At 40.0% G+C, this 26,559-nt stretch overlaps 1 protein-coding gene across 29 annotated transcripts, besides 4 other annotated features; it reads left to right on the top strand.

Annotated features, from left to right (window-relative positions):
* Positions 1 to 976: 976 nt before the first annotated feature.
* CREBZF (CREB/ATF bZIP transcription factor) lies at positions 977 to 25,850 on the top strand. Of its 29 annotated transcripts, none has more exons than NR_165400.1 (5): positions 977 to 1,123; positions 20,239 to 20,316; positions 20,547 to 20,661; positions 21,383 to 21,451; positions 23,243 to 25,850. NR_165400.1 is itself a non-coding variant. In XM_017018086.2 (4 exons), exons 1-2 carry the CDS (start codon positions 18,965 to 18,967, stop codon positions 20,252 to 20,254), a joined length of 1,077 nt encoding a protein of 358 aa, XP_016873575.1. In that variant the 5' UTR covers positions 18,711 to 18,964; the 3' UTR covers positions 20,255 to 20,316; positions 20,547 to 20,661; positions 21,383 to 25,850.
* Positions 11,179 to 11,679: an enhancer, noted in NCBI's record as "H3K4me1 hESC enhancer chr11:85383205-85383705 (GRCh37/hg19 assembly coordinates)". NCBI's record gives its function as "activates a minimal SCP1, AML or CMV promoter by ChIP-STARR-seq in naive H9 embryonic stem cells {active_cell/tissue: H9 hESC(naive)}" and the evidence as "EXISTENCE:reporter gene assay evidence [ECO:0000049][PMID:30033119]".
* Positions 19,128 to 19,177: an enhancer, noted in NCBI's record as "active region_5370". NCBI's record gives its function as "activates an Ori minimal core promoter by ATAC-STARR-seq in GM12878 lymphoblastoid cells {active_cell/tissue: GM12878}" and the evidence as "EXISTENCE:reporter gene assay evidence [ECO:0000049][PMID:35858748]".
* Positions 19,448 to 19,737: an enhancer, noted in NCBI's record as "active region_5369". NCBI's record gives its function as "activates an Ori minimal core promoter by ATAC-STARR-seq in GM12878 lymphoblastoid cells {active_cell/tissue: GM12878}" and the evidence as "EXISTENCE:reporter gene assay evidence [ECO:0000049][PMID:35858748]".
* Positions 19,848 to 20,087: an enhancer, noted in NCBI's record as "active region_5368". NCBI's record gives its function as "activates an Ori minimal core promoter by ATAC-STARR-seq in GM12878 lymphoblastoid cells {active_cell/tissue: GM12878}" and the evidence as "EXISTENCE:reporter gene assay evidence [ECO:0000049][PMID:35858748]".

Here is a 26,559-nt window from a genome sequence, read left to right as displayed (position 1 = left end):
TTGCCTCAGGTAATTTTTTACACCCATTTTTTCACACTTCTATTAAGATTATGCTATTAAATACAAACTTTTCTCATCAAAATAGAAACCACACTGCTAGCTTCAAAGGACTATTTACTTCCTTCTACAGGTTACCAAGAATCAGAATATAGGAGCTAAGTTAATCATGGATATCCTTTATTGAGCCCATACTATTTATCATTGCGCTGAAGCAATTTGGATGAATTACTTTATTTAATTCTTAGGACTATTCAAGAAGGAAAGCGTGTTCATTTCTATTTTAAGGAAGAGGAGACTGGTTTTGGTAATTTTGCTTAAGGCCAGTTGGTCACTGGGGGAGCTGGATTTTGATGACTACAGCACACTGAAAGATAATTTTTGGCGACCAAGTGCCAGGTGCTGGGGTAGGCACTAAGAAGAAGCATAAAGAAGCATTTTTACTGCCCTGGAAGAGCCCCCATACAGTCTAAGGGCAAAAATAATAATAATAATTATTATTATTATTATTATTGTTATTATATACTGTGATCACAGAGGGAAAACATAGGCAGCATCTAGCCCTGCCTGGTGGTAAGGGTTGGGTTGGCGGGGAGGACTCCTAGGGATGATTAATTTCCTCAGGTGGAGAAAAGGGTGATGGGGTTGAGACAGCATCAAGTAGAAAGCATAGAGATATATTTAAATGCCCAGAATACTTGGGGGAATCATAGCAGTTGGGAAGAGGTGAAGAGAAGCATGTGTACAGATAAAACTGTAAACGGTTATGGTAGGTTGGGGTCATAATATAGGTGACCTTGAAAGGCAGGCTGGCCCGTTATGTGAGAGAGAGGGAGGGGCGCGAGAGGAGAGGCAAACGTACAAATTTAAGCCACGGACCCAGCCCGCCTTTTCCCACCCGGGCCCGTGCTGCTCTGCGAGGGGCCTGGTGCGCATGCGTGCCGACCCTCCAGCCTCTCTACCGCTCCTCCTCCCTCCCACAACCTGTACGTCCAAGCTCGGCTCATCCATCCCAAATTGCGGCCCCGTGGTAATCCTTGGGGCCTAAGTTTTGCGCCCAGCCTGCGGGGAGAAGTCCCATGGGCAGAGGCCGGACGGTTCTGGAAGCGGGCTGAGGGCCGTTTGGGTATGAATCCCGGAATTCCGGGTACTGGAGTGTGGTCTACAAGGGGAGTGGGCTCCAGGGACTCCACGTTATATGGGGGAAGAGCGCGTCTGGAAGATCGCGTTGGGGGGAGTAGGGCAGGGGGTAGGGGCGCGTGTCCCCTAAAACTCGGGCGCAGGGGAACGAGCCCAGTTGCCCTGGTCTGAGGACGGTACTGTTCCAAGCTGTGCTGAGGAGTTTGTGTACGTTTGATCCTTATTTGCCGTTTTGGAGATCCTAAGTCGTCAGATATGGGCCATTTTATAAGGTTCACCCTAATGCCCTTTCGAAAAATTTTGAAAGTGGGAAATGAGAGTAGAAAGCCAAAGATAGATGCCTCTGAAGAACAACCGAAGAAGAGCCCACAACATAGACTAAGAGAAATGTGCACCTATCATGTGTCAAGGTGCTTTTCATTCCACCCTCATAACAACTTTTCAAGGGAGGTTCAATTATCGCAATTTTACGGATGAAAAAAAAGGGAGACTAAGAGAGGATGACTTGTCCAAAGCCAGGAAGGTTTGGAGAGGCAAAAGTGAGTTTTGAACCTAAGGCCCTGGGTATGCCGCCTACACAGGCCCCCACACCTGGTTTAATGCTCACTGTTGCTGTCGCGAAATTCTTATTTATTTTTTAACAAGCGGCCCCATATTTTATTTTTTGTTCTGGGTACTATCAAGGAAGTAGCTGGGCCTGTTTTCTGGCTCTAAAACCCGTGCTTTCTCCCAGTATACAAACTATTCTTCTTAAGAGCCTTAAAAAGGCATTGTTTTCTTCCTCTGTGCTCCGTGGTACTTTGTATTCCACTCTGTCAGTCCTCATATTTAATCTGTGACCCAGAGCCTATTAAGGGGATAAGCAACCAGTTTATCTATTATGGTATGTTGCTCTATTAAGTGATGCTTATCACTGGAACAAACTGACAAAATGTAAATCGGCCTCCTCCAAACTACTGCCTTTGAGGGGAAATTTAAACAACAACACTGTTTTCTAAAGCAGACCTATATCCCTGCTGAATTTTTCTGCAACATCAACAAACAGTAGCTCTCAAACAAAAGCAGAACAGAGATCCTAAAAGCAAATAATGTATGAGTAGTGCCGTGTAGCTGATAGGTGTGACTTTTTGTTCCTTAAACTGTGAGCTCTTCAGGGTGCCCTAAGGAACTTGTCTGGTTCCAAAAAATTATGAAAGAGAGCTTGAAAAGAGGAGAGCTACAGGAGAAATGAACTGACTGGTATTTTCAGAATACTGACTCTGCTTCAGTTAGAGAAAATGAATTCAAGTTAGTTTGTTTCTAGTAAACAAAATATTAATAGAAAATCTTTGTCAACCTGACTCCATATATTAAATAATTATTTAAAGAAAGTTGTTTGAAGGAGTACCTGCCCAGGTGCCTGCTGTTCTACTCAGCCCTCCTTTCCCCAGATACCCATGAGGTAGCTGTGGGCTGAGTCAGGTCAGGGATATTCTGCTTTCCACTGTGACAAGACCAGCAGAGTTGGGCAGACTTGAGATATCACCTCTTGGTCCACAAAGAAAAGAGGATGATGACTCTTAACTGCTCCCCTAAAAGCCTACCCTCCCCCTCCAGACAGCTTGTCTGCCAGTGTCATTGGCCAAAATTGGGTCATATGCAAATACCTCAGCCAAGCTTCTTCATAGGGCATGTTGCCAGCATGATTGATTTAGACCAATCAGGATCCACCCTGAGATGGGAATGAGGCCAGTCTGTGCTACATAGTGGACGGGACTACCTGGCAAAGGCAGGGCTCTGCCAGCAGGAATGATGGAGGATGGATATTGGATGGACCATCAATAGTGCCTTCTGTGCTACATCTATTTAGACTGCCAGAGCCTTATCAGGCAGGGAGCCTTTTTAAATCCTTAATCACAAGTCTTGGCCTCTTAAAAAAGTTATTGGAATTTGGGGAAGTGGCTGAGAATAAGCTTTTCTAATCATTGTGTATTCCTAAGGACAAATTGGATGTTATTTTCTAAACACTAAAAACATTAAACTTAGGGACACCTAGAGCTGTACAGATGAGTCTCCCTACTTGATGCTGTTCTCTCTAAAACCTTCTGTTTATTCCACTTGGGAAAAATGAATCCAAGAAAAAACTTGTTCTTGCACAGATCTGTCTGGTCATTCATTACACATTCAACTGACTACGGTGCCCTCACAACACCCTTACTCCCCAGTCCCACAGAGGGACTCCTGCCTTAGCTACTTGCCAGACAGTTCCCACTTGATGATCTAATCCACTCTTATTTGTACTAGTCTAAAATAATCTTCACTTTCATGTTTAAGGTTATTCATTACATCATTGTTACAGCAAAAGATTGGAAATAGCTTACATACCATCAATAGGGAACAGGTTATATACCATCAATAGGGAACAGGTTCACACTTTGGAACACAGTGCAACTGTAAAACAAAAGGAAAAGGAAGCTGTTAATGTATTGATATAGAACTATCTCCAGGATATATGCAGAAAAAAACACAACAAGCTATAGAGCAATATCCATATTATACTATATTCTGTGTAAGGGGGAGAGGAGGAGAGGGGTATTAGCATGCAAACATTTCCAGCTGCATAAATGAATATTGGGAAAAAAGTTGTTCTTAGTGGTGTGGAAGCATATAGGGAATGAGGTGGTCAGGGTTAGGAATGGGAAAGAAACTTCTTAATGTATACCATTTTATATCATTTGACTTTTGAACTATGTGAATATATTACCTATTCAAAATATAGTAAAATTGAAAACAAAAATAAAAGAATCTTCCACATATCTGTTTAACTTCCCAATAAGCTATATTTCTGTTTAGGCAATTCAAAAGCCTGCACATTTTCCCCTCTCCAAGAACTGGGTAGGCACGGCATATTTTAGATAAAGCCAAATATGGCCTGACAGATCTGGGTCAGGACATTCAGCTGGAAGCTGCTGCTTCCACAAATGTTCAACCACATATGGCTAATGACAATATCTTTTTCGTCCCTAAAGAATGCCTCCCAATGATTAGTATTTCTCTCCTAGAGGTTTGGATGTGTTAGCTTCTCTCATGGATTTTCACGTGTCTGTATAAATCTTAGATTTTAGAGAGCCGGTTTTCTTATATACTCAAGCTTTTAGGATTTTGGTATTCATTTTTGTTTTTATGCTGACATACCAACAAAAGGTAGTGGAGGTAGATCAGCCATTCTGATCTTTCATTTCTGATCTTTCTGATCCTAATTGCTAACTCATTCACTGAATATATTGCATTAATTTAACAAATATTTATTGAGAATCTATTAGCCAAGACACTATGCTAAGTGGTAGGATACAATGTGAGCAAGATAGAGACCTTATCTTCACTGACTTTGCATCCTTCTGGATGAGAAACATGCTGAACAATAGGAGGACATGGAAGTGCATAGCAGGTTCCTCCAGCCTAATGTAGGAGTGATTAGAGGACGCTTTTCCTGGAAGTGGATGTAAGGTATCTGTAGAATGTGTAAAGACTGTCCAAGAGAAGAGGAAAACATGAGAGTACAGTAGCTTCGAAAGCTTCACAGTACCTCCTGTTCCTGATCAAGAAAACTGCCTTTCCAACAGCTGTACCATTCAGGGCTGCAGAATAAGCAGCTCCAAATAGACTCAAGAGATTCTCTGGCCAGATTAATCCCATTATGCTCACATCCACATTTACCTTAGTCCTTTCCAGAAGTCTGAGCCTTCATAATCTTACTCAATCCTTCCCCTCCCCCACCACCATTCCCATGCAAACTCTTTGAGAGAGCCCTTTGGAAACTCAGATCTATGATCAGCAAACCAGCTGAAGTATTAGTGCAGTAAGCAAAAGGGTGCATTGGCATAAGACTGCCTAGATTTAAATCCTGGCTGTTACTGGGTGACCTTAAATTAGGTCTTAGTGGGTGAAGAGGTACCCAGAAAGCTAAAATCTTCAGTAAGGAAGAGATATAAGGATGACATGGCATGAATTTCAAATTGGTATAACCATACAAACAAAAGAATTATCCAAAAGGCTTTAGAAAACAGTATTTTCAATGAATATCCTTAATGGAGTATATTCCAAGGACAAATAGAACTGCAAAGAAATCTTAGTAAATTTCATTCGTTAGTTTGTTAGTTGTAATATTGGCATTATATGAACATTTTTCTATATATTGATGCTAAAGCAAAAAATAATTATGTTAATGTTGCTAGGGAGAAAATTTTCAAGACTTAAATGCAGGTATTTAAAAAGTTAAGTAAAAAAATTATTTAATGTTTAATCAAATTTAAAATACCAGTCTAAACCCCTGACAGTTTTTCTGTTAAAAAAAAAAATACATATTCCCTAGCTCTGTCAACTGAAAGGCCTAGAAGCAATAAAAATCCAATGCAGTGAGCATCCCTAGGGCCTGTTTCTTGCCTCCCAAAACTGTTTTCCACTAAATTGAAGAAAGGCTCCCTGGAGGAGAGGCTGACTTCAGAACTGGTGTAGGAAAAGTACAAGATAAACCTGAAAAATCTAGGTGTGTCAGAAAACAAATTAACTATCAGAGACTAATGGAATTCTGTCAAATAGACAAGAGAGCTAAATTGGAGGGGCTCTCAATGGCCAAAGATGAAAAATATATAACCACAATTGAGTGAAACACTGAATATCATGATATACCCCCCAAAAAGATTAATTATAATTAAAGAGAATTAATTGAACATTTATTCTACTTTGCCTGTTCTCTGTATTTCAGGAAAACATATTGGCTCCTAAGTAATGAAAGTTGCTTTTCACAGAATAATTCCAGATAAAAGTAAAAAGGCATTTTGGAAATAATTGTGTTGTAACCTTGACTGAAATAATTTAGGAACTGATCATCATTAGATGAAACCATTAGGAGAGAGGTTAATGGGGAATTTTGCAGTGGGAGAATTAGACTGTCACCACTTGAAAACATTGATCAATCTTAGCATCACTAAAAACAGGACAGCTAAGTATTGTGTGCCTGCTGGTGCAATACAGTATGCAGAGCAGCACCTCCTAGGAAGTATTCTTGCCAAAAATGTTGAACCTTAAGATAATTAAGCCCTAAGAATTAACTTCCCATTTACATAAAATATGTGGGCTAGTGGGATAAGTAAAATAACACCACAAGAAAGCAAACAGGCAAATCTAGAATATGGGACATTCAATAGGACAATTGACCTGGTTTCACACAAAAGGCATTTGGGAAAGGGGGTGGGGGATTGCTGTCCTAGATTAAAAGAAATTTAAGAGACATAACAACCAACTGGAATGTGTAGAATTGTTTGGATCCCGATTAAGTCAAGTCATCTGTAGACAGACATTTTTGAGACAACTGAATGTGGATTAAATGATATCAAGAAATCCATAATAATTTTATTAGTTGTAATCATGGCATTGTGGCTACACAAAAAAATGACTTAAGCCGGGTGTGGTGGCTCACACCTGTAATCCCAGTGCTTTGAGAGGCCAAGGTGCGTGGATCACCTGAGGTCAGGAGTTTGAGACCAGCCTGGCCAACATGATGAAACTCCTCCTCTACTAAAAATACAAAAAATTAGCCAGTTGTGGTGGCTGGCGCCTATAATCCCAGCTAATCAGGAGGCTGAGGCAGGAGAATTGCTTGAACCTGGGAGGCGGAGGTTGCAGTGAGCCGAGATTGCATCACTGCATTTCAGCCTGGGTGACAGAGTGACATTCTGTCTCAAAAAAAAAAAGACAGAAAAAGAAAAAAATTACTTTACAGGCAGGCATAGTGGCTCACACCTGTAATTCCAGCACTTTGGGAGGCCGAGGCAAGCGGATTGCTTGAACCCAGGAGCTTGAGACCAGCCTGAGCAACATGATGAAATCCTGACTCTACAAAAAAAAAAAAAAGAAAAATTAGCCCAGTGTGGTGGCTTTCAACTGTAGTCCCAGCTACTCAGGAGGCTAAGGTAGGAGGACCACCTGAGCCCAGGGTGGTCGAGGCTGCAGTGAGCCATGTTTGAGCTACTGCAGTCCAGCCTGGGTGACAAAGTGACACCCTGTCTCGAAAAAAAAGAAAAAAAAAGTGACATTATAGTTAAGGATGTACACTGCCATGTATAGGGATGAAACGACATGATGTCTAGGATTTATTTAAAATATTTCAGCAATAAAAAAGAGATAAATCAAGTGTGGAAAAATCTTGATAATGTTAAATCTGGACGATGGGTCTATAAGGATTCTGTGTACTATTCTCCTCATTTTGTGTCAGAGTACAAATTTTCAGTATTTAAGAAATTAAAATTTTTAAAGTTTTGGGGTTCCTAAAGGAGGGAGCAGAAGGAATGATTTGGAATTGGCAATGAGAAGTAAGAGCACAACAGCCAAGTTCTGGCTCCGAGGTGCCCATTGCGGTGAGAGAGGAAACAACTTCCACTTGAGAAGTGGAGTCCTTGCTATCAGAATATGAAAAGCTTTCTTCCTACCCTTCCAAATCTTTCATGCTCAAACTTCTATGCCTGCTCCCTTTCCTCCACTGAAGCAGCAATTCTCAACTTGAGTGGCAGCAACTGTGAGGTTTGATTAGTTAGGACATACACTAGTAATTTCTCACTATTTCAGTTGGTTACAAATGATGGTAATTTTAAAATAAAATATATTCCAGATTAGTCCACAATAGTATAATTCTCATTCAGTTGCGTTCAGAAACGCTTTCTTGAGAAGGAGTTAGAGGAGTGGAAATATAATACAGCTAGCACACTGGGAATTGCACATTTCATGCAAATATGTATGTAGTGCTTGTAAACATAATCCAACAGTGCCCTAGACACGGTCAATCACCTGATTTCTTCAATTTTCATCCAGTCCTAATGTCCCCTCATGGTCTCACTACCCCTTACAAATTATACTTCATGGGTAGACAGGCAAACTAAAGTAAAATGAGCACCCTCGTCTCTGTACCACAGGCATACCTTGTTTTATTGCATTTCACTTTCTTCTGCTTCACGTATATGGCATTTTTTACAAATCGAAGGTTTGTGGCAACCATAAGTTGAGCATGTCTATCAGCACCATTTTTCCAACAGCATGTGTTCACTTTGTGTCTCTGTGGTTTGTAACTCACACTATTTCAGGCTTTTTCATTATTAATATCTCTGTCATGGTGATCTGTGATCATTGATCTTTCATACTACTATTGTAATTGTTTGGGGGTGCTATGAACAGCACCCATATAAGATGGCAAACTTCACTGATGAATGTTGTGTGTGTTCTGAGTGCCACTGACTGGCCATTCCCCAGTCTCTCTCCCTCTCCTTGGGTCTGCTTATTCCTGAGACACAACAATATTGTAATTAGGCCAATTAATAATCCTACAATGGCCTCTAAGTGTTCAAGTGAAAGAGTTATACATCTCTCACTTTAAGTCAAAAGCTAGAAATGATTAAACTTAGTGAGGATGGTGTGTTGAAAGCAGAGACAGGCTGAAAGCTTGGTCTTTTGCACCAGTTAGCCAAGTCGTGAATGCAGAGGAAATATTTTTGAGAAAAAAAATTTGAAGGAAATTATAAAGGGCCACTTCTGTAAACACATGAATGATAGGAAAATAAAACATCCTTATTGCTGATATGGAGAAAGTTTTAGTGATCTGGATAGAAGATCAAACCAGCCACAACATTCCTTTAAGCCGAAGCCAAACCCAGAGCAAGGCCCTAGCTGTTTTCAATTCTATGAAGGCTGAAAGAGGTGAGGAAACTGCAGAAGAAAAGCTGGAAGCTAGCAGAAGCTAGCAGAGGTTGGTTCATGAGGTTTGGGTATTCTGAAGGAGAGAGGAGAAGAAATGATTTGGAATTAGCAATGAGAAGTAAAAGCACCACAGCCAAGTTAGAGAGAAAAACCCATCTCTGTAACAAAGAAGGGCAAGGTGAAGCAGCAAGTGCTGATGGAGAAGCAGCAACAAGTTTTCCAGAAGATCCAGCTGAGATAATTGATGAAGGTAGCTACACTAAACAACAGATTTTCACTGTGGACAAAAAGGCCTTTTATTGGAAGAAGATGCCCTCTAAGGCTTTAGTAGTTAGAGAAGTCAATGCCTGGCATCAAAGCTTTAAAGGACAGGCTGACTCTCTTATTAGGGGCTAATGGGCTAATGCAGCTGGTGACTTTTAAGTTGAAGCCAGTGCTCATATTTACCCTTCCAAAAATCCTAGGGCTTTCAAGAATTATGCTAAATCTACTCTAACTGTGATCTATAAGTGGAATGACAAAGCCTGAATGACAGCATATCTATCTACAGTGTGGTTTACTGAATATTTTAAGCCCACTGTTGAGAACTGCTGCTCAGAAAAAAAGATTCCTTTCCAAATGTTACTGCTCATTGACAATGCAGTTAGTTACTCAAGAGCTGTAATTAAGATTTACAAGGAGATTAAAGTTTTTATGCCTGCTTACACAACATCCATTCTGCAAGCCATGAATCAAGGAGTTACTTCAACTTTGAAATCTTATTGTTTCAGAAATACATTAAGGCAAAGCTGCCATACACAGTGATTCCTCTGATCTATCTAAGCAAAATAAATTGAAAACCTGGAAAGGATTCACCATTCTAGATGCCATTGAGAACGTTTGTTTGGAAGTTTGGAAGAGGATTCCATCCTTTATGGATGACTTAGAAGGATTCAAGACTTTAGTGGAGGAAATAACTGCAGATGTGATAGAAGTAAGAAGAGAACTAGGATTAAAGTTGGAGCTGGAAGATGTGACTGAATTACTGCAGTCTCATGATATCACTTGAATGGATGAGGAATTTCTTCTTATGGATAAGCCAAGAAAAATGGATGGTTTCTTGGGATGGAATCTATTTCTGGTGAAGATGCTGTGAACATTGTTTGAATGACAACAAAGGATTTAGAATATTACATAAACTCAGTTGATAAAGCAGCCGCAGGGTTGGAGAGAATTGACTCCAATTCTGAAAGAAGTTCTCCCATAGGCAAAATGGTATCAAACAACATCACGTGCTATAGAGAAATCTTTCATGAAAGGAAGTGTCAGTTGATGCTGCAAACTTTACTGTCATATTTTAAGAAATGCCACAGTCACCCCAACCTTCAGCAACCACTACCTTAATGAGTCAGTAGTCATCAACATTGAGGCAAGACCCTCCACCAGCAAAAAGATTGTGACTCACTGAAGGCTCAGATGATGGTTAGCATTTTTAGCAATAAAATATTTTTAACTTAAGTTACGCACATTTCAAAGACATAATGCTGTTGCACACTCAGTAGACTACAGTATAGTGTAAACATTTATATGCACTAGGATACCAGAACATTCACATGACTCACTTTATTATGATATTCACTTTATTGTGGTGGTCTGGAATCAAATCTGCAGTATCTCCGAGGTATGCCTGTACATTTATCATTCTACTATATCTACTCAGAAAAACACTAACCCATTCCCTGCTATCACTGCTCCAATTCTCTGCTATAGAAAATCCAGTAAATGTATATGGGTGCTTGAGTACCATGAAGTCATGGTCTTTGGGGAGGATCTGATAGACTTGGATTCATCTATTCCAATCCCCCTTTCAATGTGCTTTTCTGTGTTGCAAAAACGTAAAAGCTGAAACAAAAGAAACACAAAAGCAAACTATATTTGCCAGACTCCTCTGCAGCCATATTTGGAAGGTGCAAATGAGGCAAGGACCCTTGGTTTCCTCCTTTGGCCATTGTAGCTGCTAAGTATATTCTTGTGGAGACATTGGATTTTTCAGTAACAGCATCTCGATGTCCATTCACTAGCTTTATAGGATGTGGTAGCCAGCCCCTTAAGATAGGCTCTCTAATGATTTTTGTCTCGTCCTCTCCCACCATGAATAAGGTCTGACTCATGTGACCAAAAGAATCTTACAAAAATGATGGTACATCATCTCTGAGGCTAGGTCATAAAAGGCATTGGTGCTTCTTCCTTGGTCTCATGGATCATTTGCTCTAGGTGAAGACAGCCATCGTGAAGTGTAGACACTCACACATGGGCCCACATGGAGGAGGAACTGAAACCTCCCTCCATGACCAACCAGTTAGCCATGTGAATGAGCCACCTGGAAGTGGATTCTTTAGCACAATTCAAGTCTTAGAGATCTGTGGAACTTTGAACTTGAGAGAAATGATTTAGGATATCTGGCAGAAGAAATTTCTAAGCAGCAAAGAATTCAAGAGGAAACAACACAAAAGTTTGGAAAATTTGCAGCCTGATGATGCAGTAGGAATGAAAAAACCCATTTTCTTGGGAGAAATTCAAGCCTGCTGCAGAAATTTGCATAAGTAACGAAGAGCAACATGTTAATCACCAAGACAATGGAGAGAATGTCTCCAGGGCATTTTAGAGACCTTCGAGGCAGCCCCACCCATGACAGGCCCAGAGGCCTAGGAACAGAAAATGGTTTCATGGGCAGGGCCCAGGGCCCCGTGCTGTGTGCAGCCTAGGGACTTGGTGCCCTGCATCCCGCATGCTCCAGCTGTAGCTAAAAGAGGCCAAGGCACAGCTCAGGCTATGGCTTCAGAGGGTGCAAGCCCCAAGCCTTGGCGGCTTCCACGTGATATTGAGCCTGTGGGTGCACAGAAGTCAAGAATTGAGGTTTGGCAACCTCCATCGAGATTTTAGAGGATGTATGGAAACACTTGGCTGTCCAGGCATAAGTTTGCTGCAGGAGCGGGGCTCCCATGGAGAACCTCTGCTAGGGCAGTGTGGAAGGGAAGTGTGGGTTCAGAATGCCCACACAGAGTCCACACTGGGGCACTGCCTAGTGGAGCTGTGAGAAGAGGGTCACCATCCTCCAGACCCCAGAATGGTAGATCTATCAACAGTTTGCACTGTGCACCTGGAGAAGCCGCAGTCAATGCCAGCCCATGAAAGCTGCCAGGAGGGGGCCTGGACCCTGCAAAGCCACAGGGATGGAGCTGCCCAAGACCGTGGGAACCCACCTCTTATGTCAATGTGACTTGGGTGTGAGACATGGAGTCAAAGGAGATCATTATGGAGATTTAAGATTTGACTGCCTTGCTGGATTATGGACTTGCATGGGGCCTGTAGCCCCTTTGTTTTGGCCAAGTTCTGCCATTTGGAATAGGTGTATTTACCCAATGCCTGTACCCTCATTGTATCTAGGAAGTAACTAACTTGCTTTTGATTTTTCAGGCTTATAGGCAGAAGGGACTTGCCTTGCCTCCAATGAGACTTTGGACTGTGGACTTTTGAGTTAATGCTGAATGTGGGACTGTTGGGATGGCATGATTGGTTTTGAAATGTGAGGACATGAGATTTGGGAGGGGCCAGGAGCAGAATTATGTTGTTTGGCTGTGTCCCCACCCAAATGTCATCTTGAACTGTAGCTCCCATAATCCCCACATGTTGTGGAAGGGACCCAGTGGGAGGTAATTGAATCATGGGGGCAAATTTTTCTATGCTGTTTTCACTGTAGTGAATAAGTCTCATGAGGTCTGATGGTTTTGTAAAGGGCAGGTCCCCTACATATGCTCTCTTGCCTACTGCCATGTAAGACATGCCTTTGCTTTTCCTTTGCCTTCCACCATGATTGTGAAGCCTCCCCAGCCATGTGGAACTGTGAGTCCATTAAACCTCTTTTCTTTATAAATTACCCAGTGTTGAGCAGTTCTTTGTAGCAGTGTGAGAATGGACTAATACACATGCTTATCCTCTACCTGTGTGTCTTTCCATTGTCTTCCCTTTGTGATTGTCTCTGTATACAAATGTTTTCTTTTTATAAGGACAAAAGTTGTGCTGAATTAGAACCCACCCTAATAAGCTAATTTTAACTTTATTATCTCTGTAAAAATCCTACTGCCAAGTAAGGTCACATTCTAAGGTACTAGGGATTAGGATTTCAACATGTCATTTTTGAGGGACGCAATCTAATCTATATGAATTCCTATCCTCCTCTTCAGTCTCAGCTGACAACCTCTTCTTCTAATCTATCGAGATATTGACACTACATTGTATTCTGGTGCTCCAGCTGAAAAATTTATGTATGCATGTCTCAGGGGATGAGTTGACATTCTTTTCCTATGGTTGGAAAATCTATGGTTAAAGAACTTGAGAGGCTGGGTGCAGTGGCTCACGCCTGTAATCCAGCACTTTGGAAGGCCGAGGCGGGTGGATCACGAGGTCAGGAGATCGAGACCATCCTGGCTAACATGGTGAAACCCCGGCTCTACTAATTTACAAAAAATTAGTTGGGCGTGGTGGTAGGCGCCTGTAGTCCCAGCCACTCGGTAGGCTGAGGCAGGAGAATGGTGTGAACCCGGGAGGTGGAGTTTGCAGTGAGCAGAGATTGCGCCACTGCACTCCACCTGGGTGACAGAGCGAGACTCCGTCTCAAAAAAAAAAAAAAAAAAAAAAGAACTTGAGATCTTATTGTGGGGGGGGGGGATTAAAGTGTTAGGGGGAAATAAAGAATACGAAACAAAGTATCAATGGCCCTCTACATGTCTGAAATTAATTTTCATTTTGTATTACATGCTTGCTAGAAACTTTCAGGATTTTTCTTCCTTCAAGTTCCAATGAAATGCTTGTGTATTTACAACATGTAATTAGTCCAGGCACGGTGGCTCACACCTGTAATCCCAGCACTTTGGGAGGCCGAGACAGGCAGATCACAAGGTCAGGAGTTCAAGACCAGCTTAGCCAACATGGTGAAACCCCGTCTCTACTAAAAAATACAAAAATTAGCCAGGTGTGGTGGCAGGCACCTGTAATCCCAGCTACTTGGAAGGCTGAGGCAGGAGAATCGCTTGAACCCAGGAGGTGGAGGTTGCAGTGAGCTGAGATTGTGTCACTGCACTCTAGCCTGGGCAACAGAGTGAGACTCTGTCTCAAACAAACAAACAAACAAACAAACAAAAAACATTTAGTTAATTCAGTTGTAAATAGTGTGTATACGAACACATGTCCTATGATTTCTCTTCTTACCCACTCTGCTCCAACTTTTTGTCTTTATTTCTTAACACACTATTGAGGTTTTCAGCTGAAATCTTATTTCCTCAGAGAATTGTCCATTGACTATCCAATCTAAAATAATTATAGATTTATTTTCAATTGGGTGACCCTTTAACAAATCTCTGTATAGCATTTTTATAAAACTTTCCTATTTGCTATCTTCTCTCATTACAAAGTCGGCTCCACAAGAACTTTATCAACCTTGCCCATCATTATATCCACAATGCTTATAACAAGATCTAGCTCAAAGTAGATTGTGTGTGAGTGTGTGTGTGTGTGTGTGTGTGTGTGTGTGTGTGTGTAGAATGACTGAATAAATTATTTTCTTGCTTTGGTCTTGCAATTCTAGACAGATGCAGAATAATGTAGATACGTGAGATAAGTTTTGTATAACCTTTATTTAGCTATGAGAAGCTGAACAGATGTTTTTCAAACTGCCTCCCCAATATAAAAAACCCAATGTACAGGGTTATAAAGTTTAGGCTTCTCTCACAATTGTCTTAAGCTAGTGAACCTCACACAGTTTTTACATAGCTTTATGGCTCCTTCCCCCCAAAGACTTGGAGTATAGTTGAATCCTGACACATGCTGCAAGTCATTTAATAAAATAGCCATTCATGTTGTTAAAATCTCCATGTAAAATACAAATAGGAGCATGTTTCTTTTTTTTTTTTTTTTTTTTTTTTTTTTTTTTTTTTTTTTGAGACGGAGTCTCGCTCTGTCGCCCAGGCTGGAGTGCAGTGGCGCGATCTCGGCTCACTGCAAGCTCCGCCTCCCAGGTTCACGCCATTCTCCTGCCTCAGCCTCCCGAGTAGCTGGGACTACAGGCGCCCGCTACCACGCCCGGCCAATTTTTTGTATTTTTAGTAGAGACGGGGTTTCACCGTGTTAGCCAGGATGGTCTCGATCTCCTGACCTCGTGATCCGCCCGCCTCGGCCTCCCAAAGTGCTGGGATTACAGGCGTGAGCCACCGCGCCCGGCCGCATGTTTCTTAATCTAATAAAAATACTAATCTCAAATCAATAGCTAGATAGTTAAGGCATTCCTGTTAAAGTCAGGAATAAGATAAGGAAGTTGGCTACAAACATTATTATTAGACATGAATCTGGAAGTGCTATTTTATTATCAGTCAAGATAATAATAATAATTGCAAAGCAGGAAGCAAAAGAGTTATTATGTATAAGGTTATGTAATTATTAAAAATTGATAAATAAGCTGAAAATTAAAACAAGAAAGTTTGGTGCACTAGTCAGTTAAAAATTTAACAGAAAAGACAAATAGCTGTCCTACATAGTAACAATAACCATTTAGAAATAGAACGGAAGAAATAATCAATTTTATGCAAAGTTTGCATAAAAACTAGGTAAAGTTTGCATAAAAACTAGGTGAAAGAAATGAATAAATTTAATGCAATTTCCATAAAAATTCTAGCTTTTTTGAACTTGGAAAGTCTTCTAAAGTTATGTGGAGAAATAAATACTTAAGTATAGCTAGAAAATTCTAAGAAAGTACAAGTAACAAAGAGGGACTTGCCATATGAGATATGAGAATGTAATATAAACTCCAATAAAAAGTGGAGTGATTTTGCTTCTGGAATTGCAGAACTGATCAATAAAATAGATAAAGACCAGAAACAGATCCAAGTGTATGTAAGAATTTAATATATGGCATGTTGGGAAGTCAGTGGGACAAGTACGGATTATTCAATGAATTGATAAGTGGATTTTTTTTTTTTTACATAGTCTTACTCTGTCTCCCAGGCTAGAGTGCAATGGCGTGATCTTGGCTTACTGCAACCTCCGCCTCCAAGGTTCAAGTGATTCTTGGGCCTCAGCCTCCCAAGTAGCTGGGATTACAGGCATGTGCCACCATACCTGGCTAATTTTTTTCTAATTTTTTGTATTTTTAATAGAGATGGGGTTTCACCATGTTGGCCAGGCTGGTCTTGAACTCCTGACCTTAAGTGCTCCACCTGCCTTGGCCTCCCAAAGTGCTGGGATTACAGGTGTGAGCTGCTGAGCCTGGTCTTTGATAAATTGACTATTTAAAAATTACAGCCTGAGAAGCAGCTTTACAACTCCACCCCTAGTAAATGGTAAAATGATTTTTAAAAAAAGTTGGAAAATGTAAGAGACAAAGGGATGTTTTCCTTATAATGTAAAGAATTCACATAAATCAAGAAGAAAAAAGACAAACATCTTCCCTGAAGAACATTTTTTCCCTACTTCAAAGAAAAATGAGTTAGGGAAGTGAAAATCCTATTCGCATTAGATGTCAATTGGTCATGTGACAAACATTCAACCTTCCAATAATCAAAGAAAAGCGAATCTGGGCAGTTGCAGTGGCTTGCGCCTGCAATCCCAGCACTTTGGGAGGCTGAGTCGGGCAGATCACCTGAGGCCAGGAGTTCGAGACCAGCCTGACCAACATGGTGAAACCCCATTTCTACTAAAAGTACAAAAAATTAGCCAGGCATGGTAGTGGGTGGGGGTTGGCGGCGGGGGGTGGGGGGTTGGTGTCTCTCTATGTTGCCCAGGCTGGTCTTGAACTCCTGGGCTCAGGCAATCCTCTTGCCTCGGCCTCCCAAAGTGGTAGGATTACAGGTGTGAGCCACCACGCCCAGCCAAATCATGTGTATTTAAAACAAAATTTCGTAATTTAAAAAATATAATCAGTTAATAATATTGAATTTTGCCTAAGGGGAAAATGTAGTTGGATGGGATTACCAGCCATACAAAACACCTGTACTCAAGGGAGGCCAGAGTATACATATATCACCTTGAACTGTGTGCTCTTGTACTTTGGCAAAATCTTTCCTAATGGAATGTTAAGCAGGACAAGGAGTCCTTTTATTTATTCTTCTAGATACCACAGGTCATACTTTTTTCACACCTTGAAATAATTGTTTTCATTCAGGTGAGCTTTAGTGTTATGGCTTCAGTCAAAACTGTAGACTTTATTCACTCACTCACTCAATATTTGTTGAAGCCTATGCAGTACCAGGCACGTTTCTCAATATTTGGGACCTGTCAGTGTTCAACTTCCCTGGACCTTGCTTTCTGTGTCTCTAAGAAATACTGTATAGAAGCAGCTATCCTCGAGGATATCTACTACATTATTCAGTATCCTATAGAGAAGTTTCTTTAAGATTTAAGAACTAGAAGAGCAGTTAAAGAATTCATGTATATTTTACTCATGAACAAAGGAAAATTCATTTCTCTTTTTTTGTTTGGGCTGTCAGGAAACAATTTTTAGCCCAATTCAAACAACTGAGTAAGATATTGCATCCATCCAATTCCAAGATTAACCTTTTCCCCTTTCAGAAATCCTTCTCTTCCTAGTTCATCTTTTATTGGCCTTGCTTTTTAAAAATTCAAAATGTTTTGTTTTACTATATTCTAATGTACTTGTAAACTGCTTCAAATCTCAAATCCCTTGTGGGATGTGAACCTAAATATCTGTATTTGTAAACTGCTTCAAATCTGAAATCCCTTGTGGGATGTGAACCTAAATAACAAACAGAAAAGGTCTCTAAAATAAAAGACATGTTTTGAGAATGGAGCATTTCAGTGGGAAAACGCATGCCATAGTAAACTATGTGTGTATTCAGGAAGACGAAGGAAGACAAAGAGTTTTAAAGGAAAAAAAAATGAGGATGGTTACACATTGTTTTGAACTAATTATCTTAGCTACAAAGGTCAATAACAAGGGTGACGTCAGTTAAAGGTTGGACAGGCAGTTTCTGGGCAGACATCCTTGCAGAGGTTTTGTATAAGGTCGTGATGGTCTTTGTGCAACGTTGTGGTTTTTACAGTCTTTGTTTTCAGGCATACAAGCATGAGTACCCTCTCTTCATAGCCTTTCCTGGCTCTATTTGTCAGAGTTTTTGTTTGTTTGTTACCCAAATGCAGTAAGTCAGTACTGATTGGATTTTGGCTCAAGTGAAAACATCTACTTACAAAAATGGCAAGAACAACTGAAGACAATTTTTGTAAGCAATGTTGTATTCTACATTCATTTTGCTTTGGTTTTAATTTTTTTTAATTGACAAATAATAACTGTCATATTCATTGGGTACATAGTGATATTTCTATACATATGGAATGTAGTGATCAGGTTAGGGTAACTAGCATATCCATTATCCAACTGAGGACATCTAGTATGGCCCAGGTATTAAATAGTATTAGTAAACGATTGTTAATTTTCTGAAGACTTGGTAATAGTATTATGATTATGAAAAAAAAGTCCTTATTTTTAGAGATGCACACTGAAGTACGCAGGGGTGTGGTGTCTCATCTGCAACTTTAGGATGATTCAGCAAAAAAAAAATTTACAAGCATTTATGTAAAGATAAAGCAAATATAGCAAAATGTTGTGTTGAACTGTTGAGTCTGGGTATTGGGTGGTATTGAATTAGGGTGGATAAATCTAGAGACTTGTTATTTTTGCCGCTGTTATTATGACATCACTAGAAAGCTGGAATTATTCCCACTCTAAAGCACCCTGAAATCTCGCGACACTACGGCCTGGTGGCGCGCGAAACGCGGTGGGCGGGACTGGGGCGAAAACCACTGACTTCCGGCTACGCCGTTGTCTGGGTGGCGCGGTCGAGTCATCGCAGGGCCTCACCGCTTCGTTCTCCCGTCCCTCCCCGCGCCTTGGCGCGGGGGGTCGACTAGCCAAGTGAGGCGGGAGGCGACTCGGACCTTTCCCTGCATTTCGTTTCGGCCAGTGCCGGGGGCTACCCGCCCTGGGGCCTGGGATCCTTGGGGCCCGTGAGGCCCACTCTTAGCGGCCGGGGCCTACCGCGGCCCGCCGCTGGCCCTCATGAGGCATAGCCTGACCAAGCTGCTGGCAGCCTCGGGCAGCAACTCCCCAACCCGCAGTGAGAGCCCGGAGCCGGCTGCAACTTGTTCGCTGCCCTCTGACCTGACCCGGGCTGCAGCGGGGGAGGAGGAGACGGCGGCGGCCGGATCTCCCGGCCGCAAGCAGCAGTTTGGCGACGAAGGAGAGTTGGAAGCCGGGAGGGGGAGCCGCGGCGGCGTGGCCGTGCGCGCGCCCTCCCCCGAGGAGATGGAGGAGGAGGCGATCGCCAGCCTCCCGGGGGAAGAGACGGAGGATATGGACTTTCTGTCTGGGCTGGAACTGGCGGATCTCCTGGACCCCAGGCAACCGGACTGGCACCTGGACCCCGGGCTTAGCTCGCCGGGGCCTCTCTCCTCGTCTGGCGGAGGCTCGGATAGCGGCGGCCTGTGGAGAGGGGACGATGACGATGAGGCCGCGGCTGCTGAAATGCAGCGCTTCTCTGACCTGCTGCAAAGGCTGTTAAACGGTATCGGAGGCTGCAGCAGCAGCAGTGACAGTGGCAGCGCCGAAAAGAGGCGGAGAAAGTCCCCAGGAGGAGGCGGCGGTGGCGGCAGCGGTAACGACAACAACCAGGCGGCGACAAAGAGTCCCCGGAAGGCGGCGGCGGCCGCTGCCCGCCTTAATCGACTGAAGAAGAAGGAGTACGTGATGGGGCTGGAGAGTCGAGTCCGGGGTCTGGCAGCCGAGAACCAGGAGCTGCGGGCCGAGAATCGGGAGCTGGGCAAACGCGTACAGGCACTGCAGGAGGAGAGTCGCTACCTACGGGCAGTCTTAGCCAACGAGACTGGACTGGCTCGCTTGCTGAGCCGGCTGAGCGGCGTGGGACTGCGGCTGACCACCTCGCTCTTCAGAGACTCGCCCGCCGGTGACCACGACTACGCTCTGCCGGTGGGAAAGCAGAAGCAGGACCTGCTGGAAGAGGACGACTCGGCGGGAGGAGTCTGTCTCCATGTGGACAAGGATAAGGTGTCGGTGGAGTTCTGCTCGGCGTGCGCCCGGAAGGCGTCGTCTTCTCTTAAAATGTAGGGTCAAGTAATCTGCTCTTTATCCGCGTTTACCCCTTTCAACTCCCTTACACCATGTCAAACTTACCTTAGTGGGACATCTTCACCGGACACATTTCAGAGGAGAGAAAAAAAGTAATATTGAATCTTAAAGTGTTTAGCTAAAAGCATGAATGTGACACAGTAACCAACTCCTAATGATAACATGTGACTATTAAATCTCTCTGACAGTTTCTTTTTTAGGTGATTTCCTTCCTGCCAGGCTCCGTTGTAGGGGTTACAGAACAGTCGTTCCCGCCTCACAACCTGGTAAGGATCCATCTCTTCCCGTAACGCTCATGCTCTGCTGCTTTGTCTACTTTAATGGGCAACATCTCAGTTTGTGTGTGTGTGATTTTTTTTTTTTTTTCTGTTTTGGAAGGTGGGAGGGAAATCTAATTTGGGCCCTGTCCACCCTGGAAACAGACTTGTGCTGGTCAAGAATGTATTTAAGATGCCTCTTCTGGTTGAAATAGCTATTAATGTGTCCCCTTATTCAGACTTGCGTGTACCTAGCTCTTCTGTCCCCAGTGTGGACATGGCCTTGGATGACATCGGTTCCAACTGTACACTGAAACCTGCTTATAGAGAGACAGTTTGGAGACAGTGAAACAGGTGAAGTTGAATGGAAGTTCCGAGTTGTACAAGGTGCAAATTGGAATTCCGATTTTAGGGCAACTTTTCAGAGGTTGACAGTTAAGTATTTGGGGCATGCACAAATGTGATAGTTATTTTGCTGGAGGTGACAGGTATCTCTTAAATATCAACAATGCCTTTTAGTTTTCAGTATGAGATATAGAAACAGTCTATAATGGAGTAACATTTTAATGTCTCACCATTAGAGAAGTTGGAAATTAACATACATATGAGACTCCTGCGTTTTAGTTAATTGGAGAATAAGAATGGCTAATGTTTCTTTGAGGACCAGCAGTGATTACCCTATCACTGAGATTGAATAAATTGTTGAACATCTTTATTTTTGTTGTATTAAAATTTTAGGTTAAATTTATATATGTATGATTAGATATTGAAGGTTGTGAAATGTGAATGAAAACGTGTAAAGTGAGGCTTCACAAAGAATCTTATTCTCTGTGTTTCAAAAGTATTTGTCCTATTTTAAAATAATTTTTTAAATTGAGTGGTTCTGGCCACTTAAATGACACGATTGGTACTATTTTCCTAAGGTGGGATTTATTCCCTTGAATCTATTAACCAGTTGTATAAATTGAATTATGGTGTCCTTCAGTGTAAGAGGCATTAAGAAATTCTTTGTGAAACATCACTGCTTGATAAAGTATATACGTATTTAGCATCCTTGTTTTTCTTTGTGCTAAAGTGGATACAGCTGTTGGGGCAGAAGAGACGGGACCAGCTGCTGGCCACATTTCCTGCTTTATTTTAAAAGGTAGTATAAGAAATGAGGAAAAAGAGGTAATATCAGGGCTTCTGCTGTTTTTTATTTTTAACATGTTCATAATTAAAAAGTATTTTCCAGCAGTCCAAAGATGTAAGTTATCTTACACATAAAATGTTTTATTTTGTTATTTGGTTATGAAAATGGAATCCTTGTTCTTGCACAACTGTAAATGTTTTGTTGCTAGATAATACGATTTGAGACCTGAATTGGTCTTTGGTTTCCAGTGCATCACAGCATATTTTGTAAAATCATCTACTACTGCACTTGAGCATGAATGGGTAGTAGCCAAACTCACAAATTGGAGTGATGAACCTGCTTATACCTAAGGGCAGGAGCAAGCCCCTCACAATGCAGCTGCATGGGTTTTTAGTGCCTACTGAATTATATATATATATACATATATATATATATATATAAACCAAAAGTAGTTGGAAAGATTATTTGAAATGACTAATTTGTGCTATCTTTATGAAATATGTTAAATGTAGCTTTTTTGAAACAGAAGCCTTGAATTGAAATTTAACTAATACTTGAACATTTTGTATATATTTCTTTGTATATAATTTTGTGCAGTACCAATGACAAAAATATGGTGTCATAATAAAACCAGGTTTGTTGATCTTTTAGTTATGGGCTCAAAGAATTTATTCATCTCTAACATGATATTGGAAAATAATGGATGAAAATAGGAAAAATGATTGTTAATGCTGACTGTGGGTCTTAAAAGGTTCTGGAAAGCAGTAAGTTCATTTTTCTAAAAACTATAACATTCTGTTGGAGTATTTTCTTCCTTACGTCAATACTTTTCCTGCATTATTTGAAATTGTGGGCTGGGGAGAAACAGTAGTCAAAGCTTTCTGAATTGAGATACTTTGAAATTCCAAGTGTAGATTTTTAGAATGTCATTTTATAAATGGCAGTTTTTGGAATTACTTGATAAGAACTTTTGAAAATGGAAGGATTAGTATGGCCTATTTTTAAAGCTGCTTTGTTAGGTTCCTTATGTTTTATTAACTGTCTTTTCTCAGTTTCCATTTCATTTTTTTTTTTCTAGTTTTGGTGACTTAGTGATTTTGTCATTTTTTACATCAACTTCATGGTCTTGTTTTTACATGGTAATTGCATGTACTTAGGATCTATCTAATAGGGGCTTTAAATAAATTTGGTCATATTTATGTGTAAGCACATTTTACTGTAAATGTTTGGGTTTCTGAATTTAAACAGATCTGTTTATTTCAGTATGTAGTAAACAATATCTTAAAGTGTCCGATTCACTACTTGTTAATTAAAAAAGTTATGATTAATGTGAAACTGTTGTCTTACTATTTTTAGAAAATTGTGTTCTGGATGATTAGCACATGGATAAAGGAGATTTCTGGAATATAAAATGGATTGTTTTTGAAATTTCTAGGTTTGGCTCTATTTACTGTAATGGTTGAAAACAATTTAGTATTTGGGTGACCCTTTTGTTTTTCTTCTAAATGTGCCTCTGGTAAAATACAGAACTAGACTAAAGATGTAGCTTTTTAATATTTGTCTTTTGATGGTGGCAGGAGTTCATACATTAATTGAACTAACACATCATATTTTGACCTACTATTTCTATCATATTGACTTACTGTTTCTGCACTTCTTTGACCAGACTTATCTTAAAAAGTCCACTTTTGTTAAAATGTAGTCACACCTCTGATATAATCCAACAAGAAGTGTTCAAAATATTTTAAATATTTGTGCATTTTATAATCACTAAATTAATCTCTCTCTCTTCTCTTTGAACAGCTTAGCAGTGTCTGCAAAAACGAATCTTTTCCTACAACCTGTTAACTGACTGGACTGTTGGTAACAAAGTAATTGTGAGAACCATGTCGGTCAAAAATTTGGCATCTGCTGAAAAAAATGAATGCCATTTTCAAGTTCCCAAATTACTTCTATACTGATTTCACTTTCCAGAAATGGAGATATGAAAAGATTCTCTGGAATCCTTGAAAGACTTAATAGAGATACATGAGACTAAGTTAATCTTGGAACAAAATTATACTTTTTTTGTCTTTCATGGGAGTGATACTCAGTTATTGCATATCTTTACAAAATTGTAACCTTTGGAGAATTACAGTATTTCATCAAGAAATTAGAGTTTTTACATAATCAAGAGCATATTCTATGGAATTAACATTTAGTGGACTAGAATTACATAAGCAGGCCATCAGTGATCACAAGGCATATGAGTTTGTATTTATTTCCTGGAACATGAGAGCTAATTTGGAGTACAGACAGACACCCTGCTGAGTAGAATATAAAAGTTAATGTAAAGTTCTGAACTATAAAGAGTAGTCCTTTTAAATAGATGCATTGATTTGTATATCTTTGAAAAAGTTGATTATGATTAAATGTGTGGGTAGTTAATTACAATTTAGGGTAACAACCAGGATGTATGGATTCTTGAGGTTTTGGCTTCTTGAGCTTTCTCTTGAGTACTTGATACTGTTTTCTGAATATTTTGAGGTTTCTAATTAATGGTATGCTAGTTTCTACTGTTTTATATAAAAATTTATCTAGTGTTGTATAAGGACTTTAGTATTGTGGATGATGGGAGTGGCTTTTTGTGGCATATGGTTGTTTTAATTGAAATATTTTTTCAGTTTATTACAAGTGTGAAAAAACACTCAAAACTCTGGATTGTTTTATTTCATTTTTGTTGGATTATGTTAATACATTCCTTCACGTGGTTTAGATTGAGTCATTTTATCTCACTTACTTGGAAATGTGCAGCTGATAGAAGAGGGATTGGGTAGGAGATTGGCTTTTACTTCATAATAAATATACAGTTGGTTATTGTATTATTCAAAACTTATTAAATCCATTCAGTTTCTTACCATTTTAAGTGTATTCAGTGCCTGTGAAGCCAGGCAGCAGAGTATTCCCACTGGCTTAAAACTTAGGCGCTGATGCTCCTACAGTACAGCTAGTTATAATTCCAGAACCAAAGGCACCAACATTATTTGGTGACCTTAACTACTACTTTGATAGAACAGACTGGGTAATTCACTGATAATGAGTCATTACCTTTTTAATATGTGATTATCTAGTTCAGCATTTTGAATGTGTAGTTTAAGGTCTGATTTAGTAAAATTTTAAAGCTAAATAATCTGATGACTCTTGAAAGTTTAATTGGTAGTATGACATTTATGTTTTTTTCCCCCAGACTCACAGCCAATACAAAGTTTTGAGACTCCTAAATGTTAATATTTTTGCTGTTTTTCTGAGCTGTTTTTTTATTTACTTACCACCTAAGCTGCGGATCAAAAAGGGAATTCTTCCATTAGAAATTTGTAGTGTTGTGTGGCCAGCACAGTATTTTTCAGATTTGAATTTCAGTACCTCTGTGTAGCCTCAGTACTCTCAACACCAGTCACTCTTTATTGTCTTAAAATATTCCATACTTTTTGTTGACCCAAAATTGTTGAAAATATTTTGCTCAGTTTTCACAATGAACTAATTGAAAAGTGTAGTTACTGTGTTGTAAACATTTGTGTAGTTCTGTTAATACACTGATTTGAATTTTATTTATCTCAACTTCCTTTAGCGTCTGCCTCCAAATTTTGTCTTTGCTGTATACCCACTGAGATCAATTCCCTAGACCCCTCTGGCTCTTAGTGTACTATAATTTGGGCTTTATAAAATATATTGTCTTAATTTAAATAGAATGTGAGCCCTCTTTTTTTTTTTTTAAGCCAAATAACTACACAAAGTAAATTATAAAAGATTTAAATAGTTTGTCTACAGTGACTAGACTGAAATATAAAAATTGATTGAGGGTAGTTTACTTCAGGTGTTAGCTACAAATGACTAAATGTCCTTAAATAATGCAGATATCTGCCCTCTGAACAAAAATTTTGGCAAAGTAAATTTGTAGCAACAGACTTAACATGATTTATTGCTTATGTTGCCCATTTCTGCTAATGGAAAAGATAATTTAAAAATATGTGGCAGAGGACAGATATTAGAAATACTTTTTGGTTACAGAAACCATTGTAAACTCATCCTCATTTATAAATGGTATTATGCTAGGGAGTAATTGGACTAGGAATGTTTAAAGATAAGTAAGGAAACAATGTGTGCTCAATCGTCAAAGAACTTAGTTATATCATTGGGCTTTGAATTATCTAAGTTGATTACATAATTCTATATTCTTAAGGAGTCTTAACTCGGTACTTGGGTTAACGCCAGAAATTACTTTTAATTCATTGTTTTTTTCACTGGGATGAGTAGAACTCTGCTTTTAGTAAAAGTGACAGAATATAGGTAAAATGGATGATTTGGGATCAGAGCTTTTCATCTTGATATTTTAGCCTGTAAAATAAACAGCTATATTGTTTTGCCCTTTAAATGTTATATATATTTTTCTGTCTTTCTTTCCCTAGTTGTAAAAGTAAAGCATATTCTTTATAGAAAACTTGGAATATCCTGAAAGGAATCAAGAAGAAAAGAAAAATCACCCTTATAACTCTATAAGCCATAGAATATCCACAGTAAACATTTTGGCATGCTTCCTTTCAGTCTCTTGTGCACATAGATTCTTTTGCCTCATAACTGGGATCATTTTTTATATAAGTTTGGTAGATAATATATTTTATGTGCCTGTTGAAAGAACAAATCATCTTTGCTTTCTGAAAAATTGAGATTGTATTTTATTAATTTCACATGAGTTTTTCATCTTTGGCAGCACAGCTTTATGTTTTTCTTTAAACAGAAGCTAAAGGCCAGTTTCACTCACAAAGATGCCTTTTCTAAATTATAATTTTAAGTAGCATAAGATGACTTAACAGATATGTCACTATTTGGAAGTAATAATTAAGAGATTCATGAATAATCTTGGATGCCACTTAAAATTTTGTTTGGTACTTTTCTGTGATGATTGGCTTGCTTCATAAGTGTTGGTTTAGATCTACGCTGTCCAATACTGTAAGCATTAGTCACGTGGCTAAACATTTTAAATGGTTTAAAAGTAAAAATTCAGTTACTCAATTGCACTTGCCACATTTCAGGTGCCCAGCCGCTACATAGGCTAGTGGCTAACATATTGACTGTGCAGATAG

Source organism: Homo sapiens, chromosome 11 (assembly GCF_000001405.40).
Source record: "Homo sapiens chromosome 11, GRCh38.p14 Primary Assembly".
Classification (NCBI taxonomy): domain Eukaryota; kingdom Metazoa; phylum Chordata; class Mammalia; order Primates; family Hominidae; genus Homo; species Homo sapiens.
The sequence above is the reverse complement of the archived record's forward strand: the minus strand, read 5'-3'. Positions and strand labels throughout refer to the sequence as shown.